The 21,960-nt window shown below is 42.1% G+C and overlaps 1 protein-coding gene across 2 annotated transcripts in view, besides 2 other annotated features; it reads left to right on the forward strand.

The window, feature by feature from the left end:
• Positions 1-21,960, forward strand: part of AKAP13 (A-kinase anchoring protein 13) — a 368,756-nt gene that overhangs the window by 184,906 nt on the left and 161,890 nt on the right. For both annotated transcript variants that reach the window (NM_007200.5, NM_006738.6), the window contains exons 6-8: positions 9,623-9,821; positions 13,422-16,599; positions 20,194-20,315. In NM_007200.5, coding sequence (NP_009131.2) covers positions 9,623-9,821; positions 13,422-16,599; positions 20,194-20,315 — 3,499 coding nt within the window. The remainder of the gene's footprint in view (positions 1-9,622; positions 9,822-13,421; positions 16,600-20,193; positions 20,316-21,960) is intronic.
• Positions 14,928-15,067: an enhancer, noted in NCBI's record as "active region_10017". NCBI's record gives its function as "activates an Ori minimal core promoter by ATAC-STARR-seq in GM12878 lymphoblastoid cells {active_cell/tissue: GM12878}" and the evidence as "EXISTENCE:reporter gene assay evidence [ECO:0000049][PMID:35858748]".
• Positions 15,870-16,164: a silencer, noted in NCBI's record as "tiled region #6632; HepG2 Repressive non-DNase unmatched - State 15:Elon, and K562 Repressive non-DNase unmatched - State 21:Repr". NCBI's record gives its function as "represses a minimal TATA promoter and a strong SV40 promoter by Sharpr-MPRA in K562 cells {active_cell/tissue: K562}" and the evidence as "EXISTENCE:reporter gene assay evidence [ECO:0000049][PMID:27701403]".

A 21,960-nucleotide genomic window follows, 5' to 3' on the forward strand; every position in this document is an offset into this window, starting at 1 on the left:
GTCCTCTTTATGGCAGAAACACAAGGCTGACGGACAACTTAATTACCAACTGTAGATGTAGGAAGGGCTTCCAGTCAAGAGAATGCTGAGTAGTTATTTTACAAGTCTAAAGGAGACTGAATGTGGAAGATGGATTTAAAATGGAAATGTGGTAGTAGTACATAAAGAAATTCTGTGCTAGAATTGTAGAGCATTCAGATACACCTAGGATTCTAGGTATGGGCCTCATAGTTCACCTAAGAAGGAGAGTGGACAGAGAGAGAGCAGGGCCTTGCCTTTCCTTCCCTCTACTGGTCCTGTCACACATAGCCACTCTATTTCTGCATATGATTTTATCTGAAAACATGCAGCTACTTAGAAGTTTGAAAACTAGTGTCTTAGTTGTATTTGTGAAATTGTACCAAGCCATGGTCTCTCAGGTTCCTTGCAGCTCTGTATAAAGCCTCTGAGCTGCTTTATTCACAGGTGTTTGCTGTCCATTGGTTGCATACTTTGGGAACATAGGTGCATGGTAACATTGGTGCATGGTAACATTAAGTTAGAGCATACTGTGAAGCAGATGATGTTGGAACTAATGGTTCATGTGAACTATTTGTACTATCACTACCAGTGCTACAGAGAGACAATTCACTTTATTTATACTCTATTACAGTGTCTTCAAATGTTCATCTCAAATCAGGTACATTTTGATCAATGCTGTTATACCATTTTATCATAATTTAATTTGCAACAGTTTTTTGCCTTAGTGGTACATAAGATGATGGTGCCTTTACAAGTAATAGCATCTTAATTTTGATGAAATATGCTATATTTAGTGCATAAGATGCCACACATATAAGGGTAAAACTCCTCATACATTCTTTCCTGCTTTTTTGCATCTATGAAGGTGGCAATAACTTCAGTAAGCCAAACTGTGGCTAACAGTAATTAATATTGAGACATTAATGTTGAGACAGATGTCATGTATCTTTGTAGCTCTAGCCTCTAGCATAGTGCCTACCACTTAATAGGTGTTCAGTAAATGTTTCATTGAATGGTCTTTTAATATTAGTTTATGAGGCTAGACCATTAAAACAAAGTTTTAGTTGGGAGTAATTAGAAAAAAGAAAATAACTTACTTTTTTTTTTTTTTTTTTTAAATGGAGTCTCGCTCTGTTGCCCAGGCTGGAGTGCAGTGGTGCAGCCTCGACTCACTGCAACCTCTGCCTCTTGGGTTCAAGCGATTCTTCTGCCTCAGACTTCTGAGTAGCTGGGATTACAGGTGTGTGCCACCACACCCGGCTAATTTTTTATATTTTTTGGGTGGAGACGGGGTTTCCCAGTGTTAGCCAGGATGGTCTCAATCTCCTGACCTCGTGATCTGCCTGCGTCGGCCTCCCAAAGTGCTGGGATTACAGACGTGAGCCACTGTGCCTGACCGGAAATGACTGACTTTATTCAAGAGAAAAATAATTTGTACAAGTAAGGCAAGTAATCATAGTATATTACTTAGATCACCTGTGTACAACATTTCTAGATGCATAGTAATGTAGATACTGAATACTGATCCTACCAAAATTGTAACTTTTAAAATATTTGTATATATTTAAGAGATACAAGTGCAGTTTTTTGTTTTTTTGAGATGGAGTCTCGCTCTGTTGCCAGGCTAGAGTGCAATGGTGTGATCTCGGCTCACTGCAACCTCCACCTCCCGGGTTCAAACGATTCTCCTGCCTCAGCCTCCCGAGTAGCTGGGACTACAGGCGTGTACCACCACACCCAGCTAATTTTTGTATTTTTAGTAGAGACGGGGTTTCATCATGTTGGCCAGGATGGTCTGGATCTCTTGACCTTGTGATCCACCCACCTCGGCCTCCCAAAGTGCTGAGATTGCAGGCGTGAGCCACCACGCCCAGCCACAAGTGCGGTTTTGTTACATGGACATATTTTGTAGTAGTGGTGACTGTAGGCTTTTAGTATAACCATCACCTAAATAATGTACCTTGTACCCATTAACAAAATTATAATTATTATGAAGAGAAAAGGACAAGCTGTGTGCATGTGCTTTTGGGGAAGAGGGGCAGACACTAAGCTAAATACTCATTTTCTATGTTGAGAAGTCAGTTTGTAACCTCATTGGTCTCCATTCCCACATTCCTCTTCTGTGTGCATGTCCGGTTCTGCTTTGTGATGCTGTTGTTTGGAGATGTGTAGTTTTTATGTAACATGGCCCAAAAATGTTAGGCCAAGATTTTATTTGTTAACTGGCCAAAAAAAAGTGATAAAGAGAAATACTTTGTTTACTCGTATTTTTATATTATGTACCAACTTTGGATCTTAAACCCTCAGTAAAATGCAACTCCAGCAGACGCTGTCCCACACCTAATATGGAGCTTCTGTTCTAGTTAGAGAGCTGAGAAAAGTATATAAATACCTATTAAATAGCCCAAAGAGGTGTGTGTGTGTGTGTGTGTGTGTGTGTGTGTGTGTGTGTATTTTTTAAAGCCAGTAGAGACCAGGCGCAGTGGCTCACGCCTGTAATCCCAGCACTTTGGGAGACTGAGGCAGGCAGATTGCTTGAGGCAGGCAGATTCCTTAAGTCCAGGAGTTCACGACCAGCCTGGGCAACATGACAAAACCGTGTCTCTAGGAAAAATCCAAAAATTAGCTCGTATGGTGGTGCGTGCCTGTAGTCTCAGCTACTCAGGGGGCTGAAGTGGGAGGATCACTGGAGCCCCGGAGGTTGAGGCTGCAGTGAGCTGAGATTGCACCAGCACACTCCAGCATGAGTGACCCTCTATCAAAAAAAAAGAAAAAAGGAAAAAAAAAGTCACAAGAGAGTAATATAATAAGGAGGAGGGGAAAGATCCTATGTCCATAGAGAAAAGAATGGAAAAGCGATCAGTAAGCCAGACCGAAAGATGGGTGGGTTTTGGATAGTCTGGAATCCCTGGATGATGAGGTGTCTTTGAGGAATGCACATTTACAGTTTGGCTGCAGAATGGGGTATAAGAAGATTAATTGTGGCTGGAAAAGAACATCGGTGAATACGGAGAATGGTGATGGCCCGGCAGAAGAGTTGCTGGTGTGGCATGGCCTATAGAGGCACTGTGGTAGAGTGGAAAGAGATAGTATTCTGGCTCTGCTTATTAGCTGGGTGACCTTGGTCATGAAGTTCTGTGGCTCTTTGCTTTATATATCTATACAGTAGAGATAGGATGCTTCGCAGAATTAAGATTATGATGAAGAGAGAAAGCCTAGGTGATACAGGCACACATGTATTTCACTCTCAATACAAAAAGAACAACAAAAACGTTGTTTTGTTTTGTAGAACAGAGCTTTTGAGCAAAAGAATGATGTCACTATTGCTTTGAAACAGTTGTTTCTGATAGATTGGGGGGTAGTGAAGGCCCTAGGGTAATTGCCCCATAACAAGAGTGGCTGTAAGAGTCCAGGTAATTCAGTCAAAGTCTGAACTAGACCAGTGCCTGTAGGATTTGAAATAAGGAGCTGAATGGGGGAAGCATTGCAAACACGAAGTCAACATGTTCAGAATGTTCTGAGCAAGGGAAGTGGTATTGCTAGGGATAACAGTGGTTTCATAAATGGAAATAGGTTTGGCATTGCTGCTGCTTTTGATTATGGAGTAACATAAAATTGAGGTTTGAAATTTGAAGGTGCCCATTAGACACCCTGGTAAAGACATTCATAAAGTAGTTGGAAGTGTTGGTGCAGAACTAAGAGAGACTTTGAGTCAAGAGAAAGAGATTGTGGGGGTGAATTGGGGCTGTGGGAAAGGATAGATGAAAGAAGAGGACTGAATGCAGAGAATTGATGTGTTCACCTCTAGGAGATGAGGAAGAGGAGCCAGGGAAAACAGTAGATGTATAGGATGGATTTTTGTGGATGGCAAATAAGAATACATTTTAAAAGAAGAATCAGATCAACATATTTTTTTCTTTTCTTTTTTTTTTTTTTTTTTGAGACAGAGTTTCACTCTTGTTGCCTAGGCTGCAGTGCAATGCATCGATCTCGGCTCACTGCAACCTCTGCCTCCCGGGTTCAGGCGATTCTCCTGCCTTAGCCTCCCGAGTTGCTGGGATTACAGGTGCACGCCACTACACCCGGCTAATTTTTGTATTTTTGGTAGAGAGGGGGTTTCGCCATGTTGGCCAGGCTGGCCTTGAACTCCTGACCTCAGGTGATCCAAAGTGCTGGGATTACAACTGTGAGCCACCATGCCCAGCCAGATCAACATTTTTAAATTCTGCAAAACTCAGGGTTGACAGGGATAAAGAAAGGCCACTGGGCCGGGTGTGGTGGCTCACTCGTGTAATCCCAGCACATTGGGAGGCCAAGGCAGGTGGATCACAAGGTCAGGAGATCAAGACCATCCTGGCTAACATGGTGAAACCCCGTTGCTACTAAAAATACCAAAAATTAGCCGGGCATGGTGGCGGGCGCCTGTAGTCCCAGCTACTTGGGAGGCTGAGGCAGGAGAATGGCGTGAACCTGGGAGGCGGAGCTTGCGGTGAGCCGAGATTGTGCCACTGCACTCCAGCTGGGCGACAGAGCGAGACTCCGTCTCAAAAAAAAAAAAAAAAAAAACCACTGGATTTTGATATTTACTTATCACTGGATACCTGTGACAAAGCTTTGGTAGCATTCAGAGTGAGTAGGAGGCCGGGTGTGGTGGCTGACGCCTGTAATCCCAGCACTTTGGGAGGTAGAGAAGGATGGATCACCTGAGTTCAGGAGTTCAAGACCAGCCTGGCCAACATGGCAAAACCCCATCTCTACTAAAAATAGAAAAATTAGCCAAGTGTGGTGGCACACGCCCTGTAATCCCTGCTACTTGGGAGGCGGAGGCAGGAGAATCTCTTGAACCTGGGAGGCAGAGGTTGCAGTTAGCCGAGATCGCGCCACTGCTCTCCAGCCTGGGTGACAGAACGAGACTCTGTCTCAAAAAACAAAAACCAAAGTGAGTAGGAGCCAGACCACAAAGCCTTAAAATGTTGAAATGGCTGGAAAGGAGGTAGAGATGGTGAGACTCCCTGAAGGAAAGAGGAAGAGGAAGACAGAACATGTTTCAGTGCGTTCAGCAGGATTTCTCGATGCCAGCACTACCGAGTTTGGGCCTGATAATTCTTTGTTGTAGGGAGCAGTCCTGTGCTTTGTAGGATCCCCTCCTACTCCTGAGTTGTGACAACCAAAGATGCCTCCAGTTATTGTCAAATGTCCCCTGGGGGCCATATTCCTTGGGTGAGAACTGATCGACAGGGTTGAATAAGGATTCCTACCGCTGGAGTGGGGAAGGAGCTAGTCCAGAAGTGGGTGGAAAACCACAGGCAGCCAGGGGATGATTTACTGAAGCAGGGACCCAAGGAGGGCAGGAAGAAACAGAGCAAAACCTCGGTCTAGAAGAGGTATCCTGAAGTTGGAGAGGGTGGGGAAATGCATTGTTGTTGTTGTTTTTTTTTTTTGTAATGACAGTTGTTTTGGCTTACATTAGATGGCCTCAAGCTTATCACTGAGAAAGGAGAAAAGGTCTTTTGAGAATGAAGTAGGCAAGGTTAATGTTTGGCATTAGAGGAAATTATATAAACTTTAATCCCAGTGGGGGAAGATTAGTGTACAGGTGAGTAAAAGGATTACTGAGCAGCAATGAGGCCTGGCTGAATGGAACTTTTGAAGCAATTATTAAAAAGATTGGTAAAATGTATATCTCAACCACGCTGATACTTTTTATATTTGTGCGTTTTACAGACTAGACTTATGTACTTTTTTTTTACTTTTTATTTTGCTTATTTCACAGGACTTTGTAGATTTCAATGTTATTGAACTTTTATTTCAGTTATTTTTAATGGCTACATAATAGTCTATAGATCTGTTCTTTAATTTACCAATCAGCGCTTCAGTTACTAACTGGTTAGATTGCTTCCAGTTTTTAATGAAGTTGTGCCAAAAGTTGCAGTAAACATTCTTATGCATAGAGTTTTGCGAGATTTTACTAGTGGACCCAGTAAAGGTTTTATACGGTGGTAACACAGAGCAGGAAATGTATTTTCTGAAATGTCACATTAATGAGGCCACCCTTGATCCACCACATTTAAAATTGCAACCTTCATTCCTGCTTTAATCTCTGTAGCACTTGCTATCTTCTAGGTGTTTTACTTATTTATCTTGATTGCTGTTGTCTCCCTTGTTCGACAGAACAGGGATTTTGGTTTGCTTCACCAGTACCTTAAATAGTGCCTGGCACATACATACTTGCTGAATGAATGGATGATGGGACTTACCCAGACCTGTAGGCGAAATGAGTTTGGAAGAGTGTCAGTAGCAACAGATATTCATGGAAGCCAGTGGGAAGATACTTGCAATGACTGATCTTTAGTATCTAGAGGGACAAGGAAGCAACAAAAGTCCCCAGGGACATGAATTGGGAGATTGAAGGGTTAGTACCTGGAGGTAATTGTGACAACAAAAGCACATTCCTCTGGAAGGTGAGAGTGGGAGAGGTAGAAGGTAAGTAGGCTGTGGTTAGAGAAAGGGATTTCCCAAGGTTTAGATATTAGAAATGGAACAGTTTGAGAATTAAATTCTCAAATTTAATTTTGAGAAGGTTGGTAGAATACTCCATTTCATGGAGAATGGACTGTATCACTTTTTAATTGCTCCTGCCTTGGCAAACAGTGTCCTCTAATCTTGTTATATTTGGGTCATGCTCAGTGGTGGTATATAAAGCAGGTTTTGTTTTCAGAGATCTTTTTTGTTGGAATATGGCTGTATGTGATAATCTGATTAAGCAGATATGCCACTAATGTCTGCCACACAATAAGGCATGTTAGTGACTATGTCAATGTAGGCTTGAAAGCTACATTGATAGAGAAGTTGTCTCCCCGCTATTTGACTTCTTGAGTCGTTTCTTTGAACTGTCGAGAGTATTTTACAAGTGCTTTTCTGTTTGAGGTCATTTCACTCAGAGTATAGCAACTTAGTAAAATATGTAAAACATGTAGTATAGCATATGCCATTCTTATTTTAAGCTGCTTTTGGGGAGCCACTCTTGGGTATGGAAGTTGTAATAGTAGTTTTTGGAGTACACTTTATTATTATTACCGTCAGCCAGTACATGATTTTCCATTGCCTTATACGTTTTCCACTGTAGCATTAAAAAAAAAATTTTTTTTTTATTATTACACTGTAAGTTCTGGGATGCATGTGTAGAACGTGCAGGTTTATTACATAGGTATACACGTGCCGTGGAGGTTTGCTGCACCCATCAACCCATCATCTACGTTAGGTATTTCTGCTAATGCTCTCCCTCCCCTAGCCCCCAACCACCTGACCGACCCCGGTGTGTGATGTTCCCCTTCCTGTGTCCATGTGTTCTTATTGTTCAACTCCCACTTATGAGTGAAAACATGTGGTGTTTGGTTTTCTGTTCCTGTGTTAGTTTGCTGAGAACGATGGTTTCTAGCTTCATCCATTTCTCTACAAAGGACATGAACTCATCCTTTTTTATGGCTGCTACTGTAGCATATTTTTAGCTTTAAAATTCCAATTAGTCTCAGGTGAATTGTTAATGACAGACAGGTGTGACTTAGTAGAAAAAACTGGAGAGACAGTTGAAGTAATCTTTCTCATATTTTTCAGTGGCTAGATAGCATGTCTGTAATTTCTTAACTCTTTAGTTTCTTCTATTTCAAAACATGATAATGATCTCAAATATAACCTTCCTCCCAAAATCTCAGGGATACTTTACCAATCTATTGTTTGCTTTGGTGGGATTATAATAACTGTGATATAGGTTGGGAGGCCAAGGTGGGTGGATCACCTGAGGTCAGGAGTTCGAGATCAGCCTGGCCAATGTGGCAAAACCCCTGTCTCTACTAAAAATACAAAAAAATTAGCTGGGCGTGGTGGGACGCGCCTGTAATCACAGCTACTCAGGAGGCTGAGGCAGGAGAATCGATGAACCTGGGAGTTAGAGGTTGCATTGAGCCAAGATCGCACCACCGCACTCCAGCCTTGGCGACAGAGCGGGACTCTGTCTCAAAAATAAATAAATAAATAAATAAATAAATATGATATGATATGGGATATTCAAAGGTGTTAATGTTGTAAGGAAAGGAAAAATAACATTTCATATAAGGAGGAAAGGGTTGATGGAAAGCATAATCTATTATTGTGCCTGATCTTTGAGCTGCTAGGCACCTTATCAGAATGCTGTTTGAGGAGTGTTTTCATTATGTTTAAAGCTTTCAGAGAAAGTAGGATTTTCTGATACAAGTAGAAAAATAGAAAAAAGTAGATATGTTTTTCTACTTTTAAGAAGGGAAGGCTTACTAGGAATTATTTTTAAATGAATGAAAGAGTAGAAGGAGGAAGAATAGGCAGTATCCGTGTGTGATTTCTCTGTGTCAAACACCATAGATGTAGTTTTTTATGCACATTTTCTCTAATTCTCAAAACAGTGCTTAGATTATAATATCTGTGTTTGCATATTATGAAATTAAGGCTCAGAAAAGTTAAGAAATTTGTCTAGCATCATATAGTTAGGAGATAAAATTTTGTACCCAGAAATCTCTAACTCTGTATACCACACTGTGTATCAAACTAATGAGAAAGAATAGTGACACCAACGGTTAGGACTTCAGACATTTACATTTGTGCTGAATGTAGAAGAGGGTGCTTAACACTTGAAATGCGTGCTCAAGTACAATAGTTAATAATATGAGATTGTGTGGGGTATGATTGTGTGCCTCATCCCTGTTTATTGTATGCCCCAAGATTCTTTCATCTGCTGCAAAAAAGCACAGTGCAGATTATGTGTGGTATCACAGCAGGCATTACGGGCATGGGTATGCCTTCTGGATGCAAGGGTGGAATTGGAGGTGCTGTAGCCTTTAGAGGAGAAACCCACTTGCCTTGTTCAAATCAGTTGGCGTATAATGGTGGAAAGTTGTTATATTTGTTTATAATGATATGAGTTGAGCAAACTTGCTTGTTTTTTAAATTTTACGAATTTTAACTTTAAGTTCTTGGAACCAAGTGCTTTATTCCAAATAGGATATGATAATTATATTGACAAGTGTTGAACAATATGTCATTGTAACAGTTTTTCTTTGTGTAATTGACTTCAATAATCTTGAGGGTGTTTTCTGCACCTATTGTTAGAAAAGTTGGAGTGCCCTTGTAAGGGTTGGAGTGAGTGGTTCTTCTCTTGCCATTATAATTGACTGTAGTTAGCATATGGTCTAATTTATTTTAAGAGCACCTCTTAATAAGCCTTGATTTTGTTGAAAATCAGGCTAAAACCATCTTCCTTGCACTTCCTCATTACTTGGTTGTTAGCATAATATTAACTATTATTAGATCCCACATATCTCTTTATCTTGATCTAAAGAACATTGTTAGGGCTAGGAGTCCTGCAGTTTTCATTTAACCCATTTGTGATCTCTTGTGAGGAGGATGGAGCTATTGGTTATATGCCTGAATCATTTGGGAGGTATATATACTAATTTTTGCTGTTGAACCTCAAAGAACAATCAGGTTAGAAATACGAAGTAAGACTTAGAACGTTAAGCCTATGCCTGGGAGGCAGAATGTATATATATTAACCAGAGATGCTTGCATGTAGGGAGAATGCTGGAGAACCAGACTCCTGGAGCAGTTTATCCTATGAAATACCGTATGGAGACTGTTCTGTGAGGCATCATCGAGAGTTGGACATCTATACATTAACCTCTGAGTCTGATTCACATCATGAACACCCATTTCCTGGAGACGGTTGCACTGGACCAATTTTTAAACTTATGAACATCCAACAGCAACTAATGGTAAGTCAGAAAGCTTTTATTTTTAAGTATATGCATGTGTATGTGTGTGTTTTGTATGTGTGTGTCCCCGCCCTCCTCCAATGAACCTTGATATAATTAGAACATAAAAATGCTTTCCTGGTGGGAGGCTGAGACGGGCGGATCACGAGGTCAGGAGATGGAGACCATCCTGGCTAACACGGTGAAACCCTGTCTCTACTAAAAATACAAAAAATTGGCCGGCCTGGTGGCGGGCGCCTGTAGTCCCAGCTACTCGGAAGGCTGAGGCAGGAGAATGGCGTGAACCCAGGAGGCGGAGCTTGCAGTGAGCCGAGATCACGCCATTGCACTCTAGCCTGGGCAACAGAGCGAGACTCCGTCTCAAAAAAAAAAAAACTTTCCTGGCCAGGCACAGTGGCTCATGCCTGTAATCCCAGCACTTTGGAAGGGCCAACACAGGTGGATCACTTGAGCTCAGGAGTTTGAGACCAGCCTGGGCAACATGGAGAAACTCTGGCTCTACAGAAGTTAGCTGGGCATGGTGGCGTACGCCTATAGTCCCAGCTACTTGGGGGTCTGAGGCAGGCAGATCATGTGAGCCTGGGAGGCAGAGGTTGCAGTGAGCTGAGATGACACCACTGCACTCCTGCCGGGGTGACAGAGCAAGACCTTGTCTCAAAAACAGAAAAAGAAGGACTTTCCCCAAAGATTCTGAGACCTGTAAAGCAGTATTAGCAGTATTAAATGTTACCACTTACAGATCAGAGCTAGCATTAAGGTTGTAGCCGTAGGGGGACTGAGAGGTTTTTTTCATTGGTTTTGGGAATAATGGAAGACACACATTTCAGGTACAGAAATATGCAACAACTAGAACTAAATTTCTGGCATAAAAGGATATTTGTCTGTGTTTGGCTTAACTTTACAAAATGAAAGAACCAACAGTTTCTGAGATTGTTGCCAAAGAACAAGAACCAAATTTAATCAGGAGTATTTTTACAACTATTTTAGTGGCGATGATATGTACCATTTAAATATAGTGTTACTATATTTAAATCAATAGTTGTATGGTACAAAGATAGCTAAAAAAAACAGAAAAGATTTTATAATCCACTCAAGTCTTCAAGATAAAGTTGTTGCCAGACATAAAAACATTACAGACTCCCTGTTAGCATTTATTACGAATAACATAAACGTCATATGTGTACATCTCTCTTGGGCATAACATCTGAAAGGCTGTGTTTAGGTAATTTTTCCACCCAGTTTATTTCAGAGCTGATTTGATTTGGAAACCACTGGACAGTAATTTCATTTAAGGTCAGCTCAATGCCAGAGGCTTCTTTGGGAGCATGCATTATTTGAGACCAGCAAGCCAAGAAATTCCATAGGGTTATGTGATGCTCCCACTTTTGTGTTTTAGAATTGTGTTTGTTCCAGAGCACGTGACATTTCATTTTCCTCTGAATGGACTTCTAGGCAATCAGGTTTTTCCTTAGAGCTCTTTTTACTAGGTGAATGGTAGTTCACTTGAAAATATAGTTTTGCAGGTACCAAAGCTACCTGCCAAGATATGGAAATGGTTGGCAGGCAAATACGAGAAATTAAAACTGTGGGAACATACATGTGCTACTTTCTTTAGGCAACACTACTTGTTTCGCCAGATTTCTGTTTTATAATGTTTACCATTTATTAAATTTAATGACTTCATTTCCTGATTTTTAGGAGACTGTCGTACTCTCAGCAGGACTGGAAATAAGCTAATTTTGAATACTCTTAAGGAGCCTAACACAGAAGCTTTTAGTGAAAGTCCATTTTGCTTGTACACTCTACTAGAAAGACTTTAACAAGCATGACACATTTTACACTTGTACATATAAACTTTTACAATAGGCTCAGTAGGTAGATAGGAATGGTCTGATGATGGAACCCTGTAAGTGCCCAATATATTCACTGAGTGAGTAGGTGAATGAGAGGATGGATGGCAGTAGGTATGCATATTATTGCAGTAGATCAGGTAATGAATGAATGGCGAGCAAACCAGATGTTTGGAAAAATAGATTTTAGGTGTTGAGAAAATATTTTTATAAGAATTTTTGAAATTTTGATATAAAGGTAAAATCACTAAAGATCACCTGTATTTGTTTTTCTCCATTTTAAACCTTGCTGCATGCACATGGGATTTTTGCATATTTATAAACTTAGATTAATAATTTTTTTCTAATTGCAATATGGTCCTCATAGTTAATAATGGCTAGTATTTCTTCCATCAGTTTTATGAACCTTGATTTTCTTAATCATTCCCATGCTGTTGGTTATATCTGTTTATATTTTTTAAATACTTTAAAGTTGCAAAATCCATTTTTGAGATTACATATAGTATCCATAATATACTCTGACAGTATATAGGTATATGTTCTCATTTATTTTATATTTAATATGTTCTGATTTTATCAAAAGGTGAAAGAATATCTGCCATGCCACTGTTCCTGAAATTATGACCCCATAACTCGATGGTTAAGTTAGATTGGTTGGAACATATTTTGGGGATTAAAGGACACTGAACTCAGTAAGTATTTAGGGCACAGGCACATTGGCTGCACCTTGTAATGGAAAAGAGCTAGGATTTGTTTTTACTTGTATATATGAGGCAGGGTGTAAGTAGACTCTGCCCTTCTGAAGACAATGAAAAATATAGGTGGGACACAGTGGTGTAGGCCCTATAATCCCAGCACTTTGGGAGACCAAGGTAGGAGGATCCCATAGGCTCAGGTGTTGGAGAACAGCCTGGGCAACATAGTGAGACCCCGTCTCTACAAAAAATAAAACAATTAGTCAGGTGCAATGGTGCACACCTGTAGTCCTAGCTACTGAAGAGGCTGAGGCGGCAGGGTCACTTGAGCCCAGGAGTTCAAGGCTGCGGTGAGCTGTGATCACACCACTGCACTTCAGCCTGGCCTCAGAATGAGAGAGCCCACCTTAATGTTAGCAGCTCAATTGAAGATATTCACTGAGCTTTTTAAAAATCAGGTTTTTGAGACTCTTTTATTTTTATTTTTTTTAAGACGGAGTTTTGCTCTTATTGCCCAGGCTGGAGTGCAGTGGTGCTGTCTCGGCTCACTGCAACCTCCGCCTCCCGGGTACAAGCAATTCTCCTGCCTCAGCCTCCCAAGTAGCTGAGATTACAGGCATGCACCACTACGCCCAGCTAATTTTGTATTTTTAGTAGAGACAGGGTTTCTCCATGTTGAGGCTGGTCTCGAACTCCTGACCTCAGGTGATCTGCCTGCCTCAGCCTCCCAAAGTGCTGGGATTACAGGCATGAGCCACCATGCCCGGCGAGACTCAGTTTTCATCTACTTCCTAAAATAAGTTCAAAATTTAGAAAATAGATATTTCATATATCCTAATCTATTTTGAACATCCCAGTATATAGGCAGATATGAAAGGAAAGTAATATCAGAAATAAGAGGAAATTTATTTGTATTCTTTTAGATTCGCTTATCATGTGACCTTAGAAGAGCTAGAATAGAAGTGAGTTCTGTCCAACAGAATTTTTGCTCAGAGGTGTCAGTGACATCTTCTCCTACAGGCAGTTTTTTAAAAGTGTATTTCATTTCCTCCTAGAAAACAAACCTCAAGCAGATGGACAGTCTTATGCCCTTAATGATGACAGCACAGGATCCTTCCAGTGCCCCAGAGACAGATGGCCAGTTTCTTCCCTGTGCACCGGAGCCCACGGACCCTCAGCGACTTTCTTCTTCTGAAGAGACTGAGAGCACTCAGTGCTGCCCAGGGAGCCCTGTTGCACAGACTGAAAGTCCCTGTGATTTGTCAAGCATAGTTGAGGAGGAGAATACAGACCGTTCCTGTAGGAAGAAAAATAAAGGCGTGGAAAGAAAAGGGGAAGAGGTGGAGCCAGCACCTATTGTGGACTCTGGAACTGTATCTGATCAAGACAGCTGCCTTCAGAGCTTGCCTGATTGTGGAGTAAAGGGCACGGAAGGCCTTTCGTCCTGTGGAAACAGAAATGAAGAAACTGGAACAAAATCTTCTGGAATGCCCACAGACCAGGAGTCCCTGAGCAGTGGAGATGCTGTGCTTCAGAGAGACTTGGTCATGGAGCCAGGCACAGCCCAGTATTCCTCTGGAGGTGAACTGGGAGGCATTTCAACAACAAATGTCAGTACCCCAGACACTGCAGGGGAAATGGAACATGGGCTCATGAACCCAGATGCCACTGTTTGGAAGAATGTGCTTCAGGGAGGGGAAAGTACAAAGGAAAGATTTGAGAACTCTAATATTGGCACAGCTGGAGCCTCTGACGTGCACGTCACAAGTAAGCCTGTGGATAAAATCAGTGTTCCAAACTGTGCCCCTGCTGCCAGTTCCCTGGATGGTAACAAACCTGCTGAGTCTTCACTTGCATTTAGTAATGAAGAAACCTCCACTGAAAAAACAGCAGAAACGGAAACTTCACGAAGTCGTGAGGAGAGTGCTGATGCTCCAGTAGATCAGAATTCTGTGGTGATTCCAGCTGCTGCAAAAGACAAGATTTCAGATGGATTAGAACCTTATACTCTCTTAGCAGCAGGCATAGGTGAGGCAATGTCACCCTCAGATTTAGCCCTTCTTGGGCTGGAAGAAGATGTAATGCCACACCAGAACTCAGAAACAAATTCATCTCATGCTCAAAGCCAAAAGGGCAAATCCTCACCCATTTGTTCTACAACTGGAGACGATAAACTTTGTGCAGACTCTGCATGTCAACAGAACACAGTGACTTCTAGTGGCGATTTGGTTGCAAAACTGTGTGATAACATAGTTAGCGAGTCCGAAAGCACCACAGCAAGGCAACCCAGCTCACAAGATCCACCCGATGCCTCCCACTGTGAAGACCCACAGGCTCATACAGTCACCTCTGACCCTGTAAGGGATACCCAGGAACGTGCGGATTTTTGTCCTTTCAAAGTGGTGGATAACAAAGGCCAACGAAAAGATGTGAAACTAGATAAACCTTTAACAAATATGCTTGAGGTGGTTTCACATCCACATCCAGTTGTCCCTAAAATGGAGAAAGAACTGGTGCCAGACCAGGCAGTAATATCAGACAGTACTTTCTCTCTGGCAAACAGTCCAGGCAGTGAATCAGTAACCAAGGATGACGCACTTTCTTTTGTCCCCTCCCAGAAAGAAAAGGGAACAGCAACTCCTGAACTACATACAGCTACAGATTATAGAGATGGCCCAGATGGAAATTCGAATGAGCCTGATACGCGGCCACTAGAAGACAGGGCAGTAGGCCTGTCCACATCCTCCACTGCTGCAGAGCTTCAGCACGGGATGGGGAATACCAGTCTCACAGGACTTGGTGGAGAGCATGAGGGTCCCGCCCCTCCAGCAATCCCAGAAGCTCTGAATATCAAGGGGAACACTGACTCTTCCCTGCAAAGTGTGGGTAAGGCCACTTTGGCTTTAGATTCAGTTTTGACTGAAGAAGGAAAACTTCTGGTGGTTTCAGAAAGCTCTGCAGCTCAGGAACAAGATAAGGATAAAGCGGTGACCTGTTCCTCTATTAAGGAAAATGCTCTCTCTTCAGGAACTTTGCAGGAAGAGCAGAGAACACCACCTCCTGGACAAGATACTCAACAATTTCATGAAAAATCAATCTCAGCTGACTGTGCCAAGGACAAAGCACTTCAGCTAAGTAATTCACCGGGTGCATCCTCTGCCTTTCTTAAGGCAGAAACTGAACATAACAAGGAAGTGGCCCCACAAGTCTCACTGCTGACTCAAGGTGGGGCTGCCCAGAGCCTGGTGCCACCAGGAGCAAGTCTGGCCACAGAGTCAAGGCAGGAAGCCTTGGGGGCAGAGCACAACAGCTCCGCTCTGTTGCCATGTCTGTTGCCAGATGGGTCTGATGGGTCCGATGCTCTTAACTGCAGTCAGCCTTCTCCTCTGGATGTTGGAGTGAAGAACACTCAATCCCAGGGAAAAACTAGTGCCTGTGAGGTGAGTGGAGATGTGACGGTGGATGTTACAGGGGTTAATGCTCTACAAGGTATGGCTGAGCCCAGAAGAGAGAATATATCACACAACACCCAAGACATCCTGATTCCAAACGTCTTGTTGAGCCAAGAGAAGAATGCCGTTCTAGGTTTGCCAGTGGCTCTACAGGACAAAGCTGTGACTGACCCACAGGGAGTTGGAACCCCAGAGATGATACCTCTTGATTGGGAGAAAGGGAAGCTGGAGGGAGCAGACCACAGCTGTACCATGGGTGACGCTGAGGAAGCCCAAATAGACGATGAAGCACATCCTGTCCTACTGCAGCCTGTTGCCAAGGAGCTCCCCACAGACATGGAGCTCTCAGCCCATGATGATGGGGCCCCAGCTGGTGTGAGGGAAGTCATGCGAGCCCCGCCTTCAGGCAGGGAAAGGAGCACTCCCTCTCTACCTTGCATGGTCTCTGCCCAGGACGCACCTCTGCCTAAGGGGGCAGACTTGATAGAGGAGGCTGCCAGCCGTATAGTGGATGCTGTCATCGAACAAGTCAAGGCCGCTGGAGCACTGCTTACTGAGGGGGAGGCCTGTCACATGTCACTGTCCAGCCCTGAGTTGGGTCCTCTCACTAAAGGACTAGAGAGTGCTTTTACAGAAAAAGTGAGTACTTTCCCACCTGGGGAGAGCCTACCAATGGGCAGTACTCCTGAGGAAGCCACGGGGAGCCTTGCAGGATGTTTTGCTGGAAGGGAGGAGCCAGAGAAGATCATTTTACCTGTCCAGGGGCCTGAGCCAGCAGCAGGTAAGCAAAACATAATACAAAATTAACAGTCTGAGAAGCAGATTCCCTTAAGAGTCACTGTGGTGTCCTGGTAAAAATATAGGCATCTTTGTTGTTTTGAGGCCTTGCACTCATTGGGTAGGTAGCCAAGTTAATAGTCACCACCATCAGGAGGGGCACGTCATCTCAGGGTTGGACAGATTTTGCTTCCTGTATTGTAGACTTACTGCTTGGTTGCTTAAGCTTATAAACACTCCTGTCTCATTCTGGAGTGGTTGCAACTTTGCAAACCTAGAAAACAATGCCTAGATCACAGGTACTCTAAAGTGGTGAAAGAATTTAGCAGATGTTTTTATTCACATGGCTTAATCCTTTTCTCTAGTACCATAGAAAACAGTGCCAAAAAGCTGTGTTTTATCTACAAGCCTGAAACTCCCTTCCTCCCCTATCATCCTAGTCTGTATTCTGAGCAAATTTAGAGTCAGAGTGGTTTCATGAACAGCTGTAAGTATTGTTCTGAGCTGACTTCCCAACATCCAAAATGGTGGTATTAGGTCATTGGTGGTTTTTTGTTTGTTTGTTTTTGTTTTTTTTGGGCTAGGGGTGTTGTTGACGGGGAACTCCTTCCTTTTCCTGCTTGGGGAGTGGACCTCTAGTTCCATTGCCTGTTGCTTTTGGGCAGCAGTCTGAGAATTCAAGACCCTGCACAGTGCAGGGGATAGGATGCAGGATTTCCGCCCAAGCCCAGTCTGCTGAGCTGCTGTCACAGGGCAGACCTTGTGTCTGCTTTATCTTGGTGAAGCAGCTGCACTGAGCAGATTGCTCACACAGCAGCCTGTTCCATCTGTGGGTAACCATGTTCCGAGGCAGCAAAGAGAAACCGCTATTGCTCCGTGGAAATAAACTATCTGAATAAAACTTCTTAACGGGGGTTGAGGCTGAAGCTGAAACGGGAGTCGGACACGATCTTGGCTCCTGAAGTCTTTAAAGGTCAGTTTGATGCACACTTCTATACCACCACCTGTTACCAGCTGTAGACAGAAGACCTATCTCCATGCTTGCCCCTAGGCTTTTGTAGGTAAGAAGCAGCCTGTTTTGTCTTTATTGTTTATTTTTGCTGTTCTTTTCAATTTTTGAAAATCCCTTTACACATATGTATTAAGAATGTGGGGGAGGGTTATGGAGAGAAATGAATCAATGGAGCAAAAGAAGTTGCTTTGGAAGAAGCGCAATTTAAATACAGTGGTTATTTTCCCTGGTAAAGGGCTTTTAGCCGTTTATAATCTTTTTCCTCCCCAGTTGAGGGATTTAAGGAATCCGAGGTAGAATTTTTGATGACTTTAGCTTTTTAGTTTTATTAATGTTTTGGATTGTTAGTGATAGATACTTGCTGGCTGTTGTCTCAGGATTTAAATGAGGTCTCTAATTTTTAAAAAAAGCCACAACAACAAGTCTATTTTGGGGGCCCTGGCAGGTTGGCATTTCAGAAGAATGGGAGTGGCTGTAAGCTGATGCCTGGTGATGTTCTTTTCATTTCGGTGCTGCGTCCTTGGCCACATGGGCCGGAATTATTTCTCTTTCTGGCTCAGTGGTCAGAATTTGACTCAAGCAAGTGTGAACTCTGTGGGGATTGTGTCTGTAGTATCCTATGAGAAAAAGTAAAAACCAGGGAGAATTTCAGACTTTGATTTTTATTAGCACATATAGTAAAGATGGTGAGAAATGACGGATGTTTAGGATTTTGAGGTTTTGAGAAGGAAGAAAAATGTATGGACTTTCAGCAGTATATATGGGCTTGAGGTTGGTAAATTTTGTGTAGGTGAGTTACTTGTCCTGTTACCAAAAGGAGTCATACTCATGGTCTCAAACTGCAGAGGAACTCTGTATTGATGGTCTCAGACTACAGAGAAAGTAGCCAGTCATGAAGAAATTGGTACTTTCTTCAGAAAATGGCCAGGATTGGGAAAATCCCTGGTCACATTACTTTAGAGAAAAAGCACCTGAGTGTGATCTCAGAGCCAAAGGGTATTTTCTATCAAGTTTACATTCTACTCATAGATTTAATCATACTGTTTTGTGAGTGAGAAGACATAGGTTTAACTGCTGATTTGGAAGGAGCCAGTTTGAAAGAAGGGGATGTGGCCCTTGACCCACCAAAAGCATTGACCACAGTGCTTAGGAAATCAGTGATGCATGACTGAGCCACGCCAGTCCTGCAGAGGCTGCCGACACCCGTCAAGTGTGAGTAATCACTGTTTTCTAGTGTGACTGGTTGCTGTGCCAAGATGCATCTTTTCAAAGTTGATAGGTATAGGAAAGGAAGGAGGTACCAAAAATCACATCCCCAGAGGAAAGCAACCCTCTTTCCCCCCAGAAATTACTCTGACTCACTTAGAGATGTTTTGATCAAGGGATAGTTCTAAGGGGATTGCTTAGTCAGATTTTAACTTTAATAACATTTTATGAAATTTAACACAGATTTTGGTTCTTTGGGCAAGGAAACTTGTTTACCCATTTTTAAACTGCTGGTAAGATTATATAATTATAAGGTCAAAGAAGGAAGAAAAGAGGTTCATCTATAGAAATGTAACTCTTACAAATTTAAGGTAGACTTTTGTACATGTCATGTGCTCCTAGAATAAAATCTTAATATAATTTATTCTTTGGTGAAAGAAACTTCTGTGCTCTTTAGTGTGGGGAGCATTTTTCTTGCCAGAGTAGTGGCATCACTAGGTTAATAACCACAGATGCATTTCCACATGAAATCGAGATGACAGTTCCATTTGCATTTGGATTATTAAGGTGAATTTTGACTGTTCAATCATGAGTCCCGTTTAAAGAAGTGTCAGAAGCCTAAATTTGCCTCAGACATCATTTATCATTTCCTTCCTGTATTTGCTTGACCATGTGGTGGTCAGGTAACAAAAACCACCACTGTTTTTGGTCTGTCAACATGGCCAGCAAGAGGACAACTATGTAATTCTTGAGAAAACATGCGCAGAAACGTTTCTCTTAAGAAAGGGATAGCTAGTCTGTGATTAGGTTTCAGTTTTGGAAGAAATAAGGGTTAAAAATAAGACGTAACTGCTGAGTAGTTCATTCTTACTGGTTACAGTGATGGGTGGATCAGAGTGTGTTGTATGTTAGTGAAAGTCATACTTGTCCCAGAGGCTTTTTCTCATTCTCAGTGGCTTTTTCCTTTTTGTTTTGTACAAATCCTTGCTTTTTTGATGATGGCCAAGATGGACTACCTAGCTTCAGCTATTAATCTGTTCCCCTGAAGCTTATGAATTTAGTTTTCCATATGCAAGTTGGTGCTACACTCAGATTTGTCATAAAAAGTCAATAGTGAAATGGATGTTCAAAAGACATTGAATTGGATCCTCGCTTAGTTCCAAGCGCCTACAAAGGCTAGGGAAAACCAGTAACCATGCGATAAAGGAATAGCTCAGCATAGGGTCAGAAATGACACTAGCCGCTGACAACAAAAGAATACTTTTCCATTTTAACGCAAAAGCAAAACAAAACACATGAAACCTGGAGCATGTTGTATGAATAGTAAGGCACAGGAATCAGTTTTTAAAAATGTACTCTGTAACCCCCCTGCACTTTCAGAAATGCCAGACGTGAAAGCTGAAGATGAAGTGGATTTTAGAGCAAGTTCAATTTCTGAAGAAGTGGCTGTAGGGAGCATAGCTGCTACACTGAAGATGAAGCAAGGCCCAATGACCCAGGCGGTAAGTGGCATCAGTAAGTCTATAAGGGCACAAAATGTGTTTATCCTGTTCTGCTGTGTCTTATTTATGGCTTTGTCTTTTATTTGAGGGTAAGTGGGCAAAATAGTATTTTCCCCCTTCCCTCTTGTGCTGTTATATAAATGTGTTTATGTTGCTGCAGCTAAGCTTTCATAAATGGTATATACCATACAGCAAAGTTTTGGAATGGGCTGTTACATGTTTTCTTATAGATTATGCTGAAAAACATTTTCCCCTTGAGCACAAGGCTTTAAGATTTGTCAGTAAGCTTAAATTGTCACAAAATCTGAGCTATCACAAAAGGGGATCTATAGACCTTTTCTTTCTTTTTTTCTTTCCTTCTTTTTCTTTTTCTTTTTTTTTTTTGAGATGGAGTTTTGCTCTTGTCACCCAGGCTGGAGTGCAGTGGTGTGATTTCAGCTCACTGCAACCTCTGCTTCCTGGGTGAAAGCGATTCTCCTGCCTTCGCCTCCTGCCTAATTTCAGCTGTGAGTAGCTGAAATTACAGGCATGCGCCACCATGACTGACTAATTTTTGTACTTTTTGTGGAGATGGGGTTTTGCCATGTTGGCCAGGCTGTTTTCGAACTGGCCTCAAGTGATCCACCTGCCTCAGCCTCCCAAAGTGCTGGGATTACAGATGTGAGTCATGGCACTCGGCCTATAAACCCTTCTTAAACCTGACTCTTCTTTCTTTATATAAAAACTGATAGCCAAAATGAGATTTTTACTTTATAGCTCAATAGTAACTGTCTAAATTATGAAGTATATCGTTTTCAGCAATGAAAAAACAGGTTCAATAGGCCAGACGCGGTGGCTCACACATGTAATCCCAGCACTTTGGGAGGCTGAGGTGGGTGGATTACCTGAGGTCGGAAGTTCAAGATCAGCCCGACCAACATGGTGAAACCCTGTTTTTACTAAAAATACAAAAAAATTAGCCGGGCGTGGTGGCAGGTGCCTGTAATCCCAGCTACTTGGAAGGCTGAGGCATGAGAATCATTTGAACCTGGGAGGCGGAGGATGCAGTGAGCCAAGATTGTGCCATAGCACTGTAGCCTGGGCGACAGAGCACGACACCTTCTCAAAAAAAAAAAAATAAGAGAATAAAAGGTTCAATCAACATTTTTTTTTTGTTTTAAGAATAGTTTGTTTTGGGATATGATTCACATACCATAAAATCCACCCAATCAAATAAAGTGCATAGGTCATTGGTTTTAAATAGATTTACAGAGTTCTGCAACCATCGCCACTAAGGCTCTAATTTCAGAACATTATCACTCTAAGAAGAAACCCCAGACCCATTAGCAGTGTGCCTTTCCTTCACTCTTCCCTCCCCCAGCTCATTAATCTACTTTTGCTTTCTGTAAATCCATAGAGAGATTTGCTGTGAGAGTGTGAAAGTGGCTGTAGATAGTACGTAAACTGCCCATTCCAGAACTTCATGTAAATGGTATAACACAATATGTGATCTTTTGTCTCTGGCTTCTTTCACTTAGCGTAATATTTTCAAGTTTCATCCATGTTGTGGCATTGATCAGTATTTTATTTCTTTTTATTGTCAAATACTGTTCCGTTGTATAGATATACCACATTTTTTTGTGGATTTGGATTGTTTCCACTTTTT

Source organism: Homo sapiens, chromosome 15, assembly GCF_000001405.40.
Source record: "Homo sapiens chromosome 15, GRCh38.p14 Primary Assembly".
Lineage (NCBI taxonomy): Eukaryota > Metazoa > Chordata > Mammalia > Primates > Hominidae > Homo > Homo sapiens.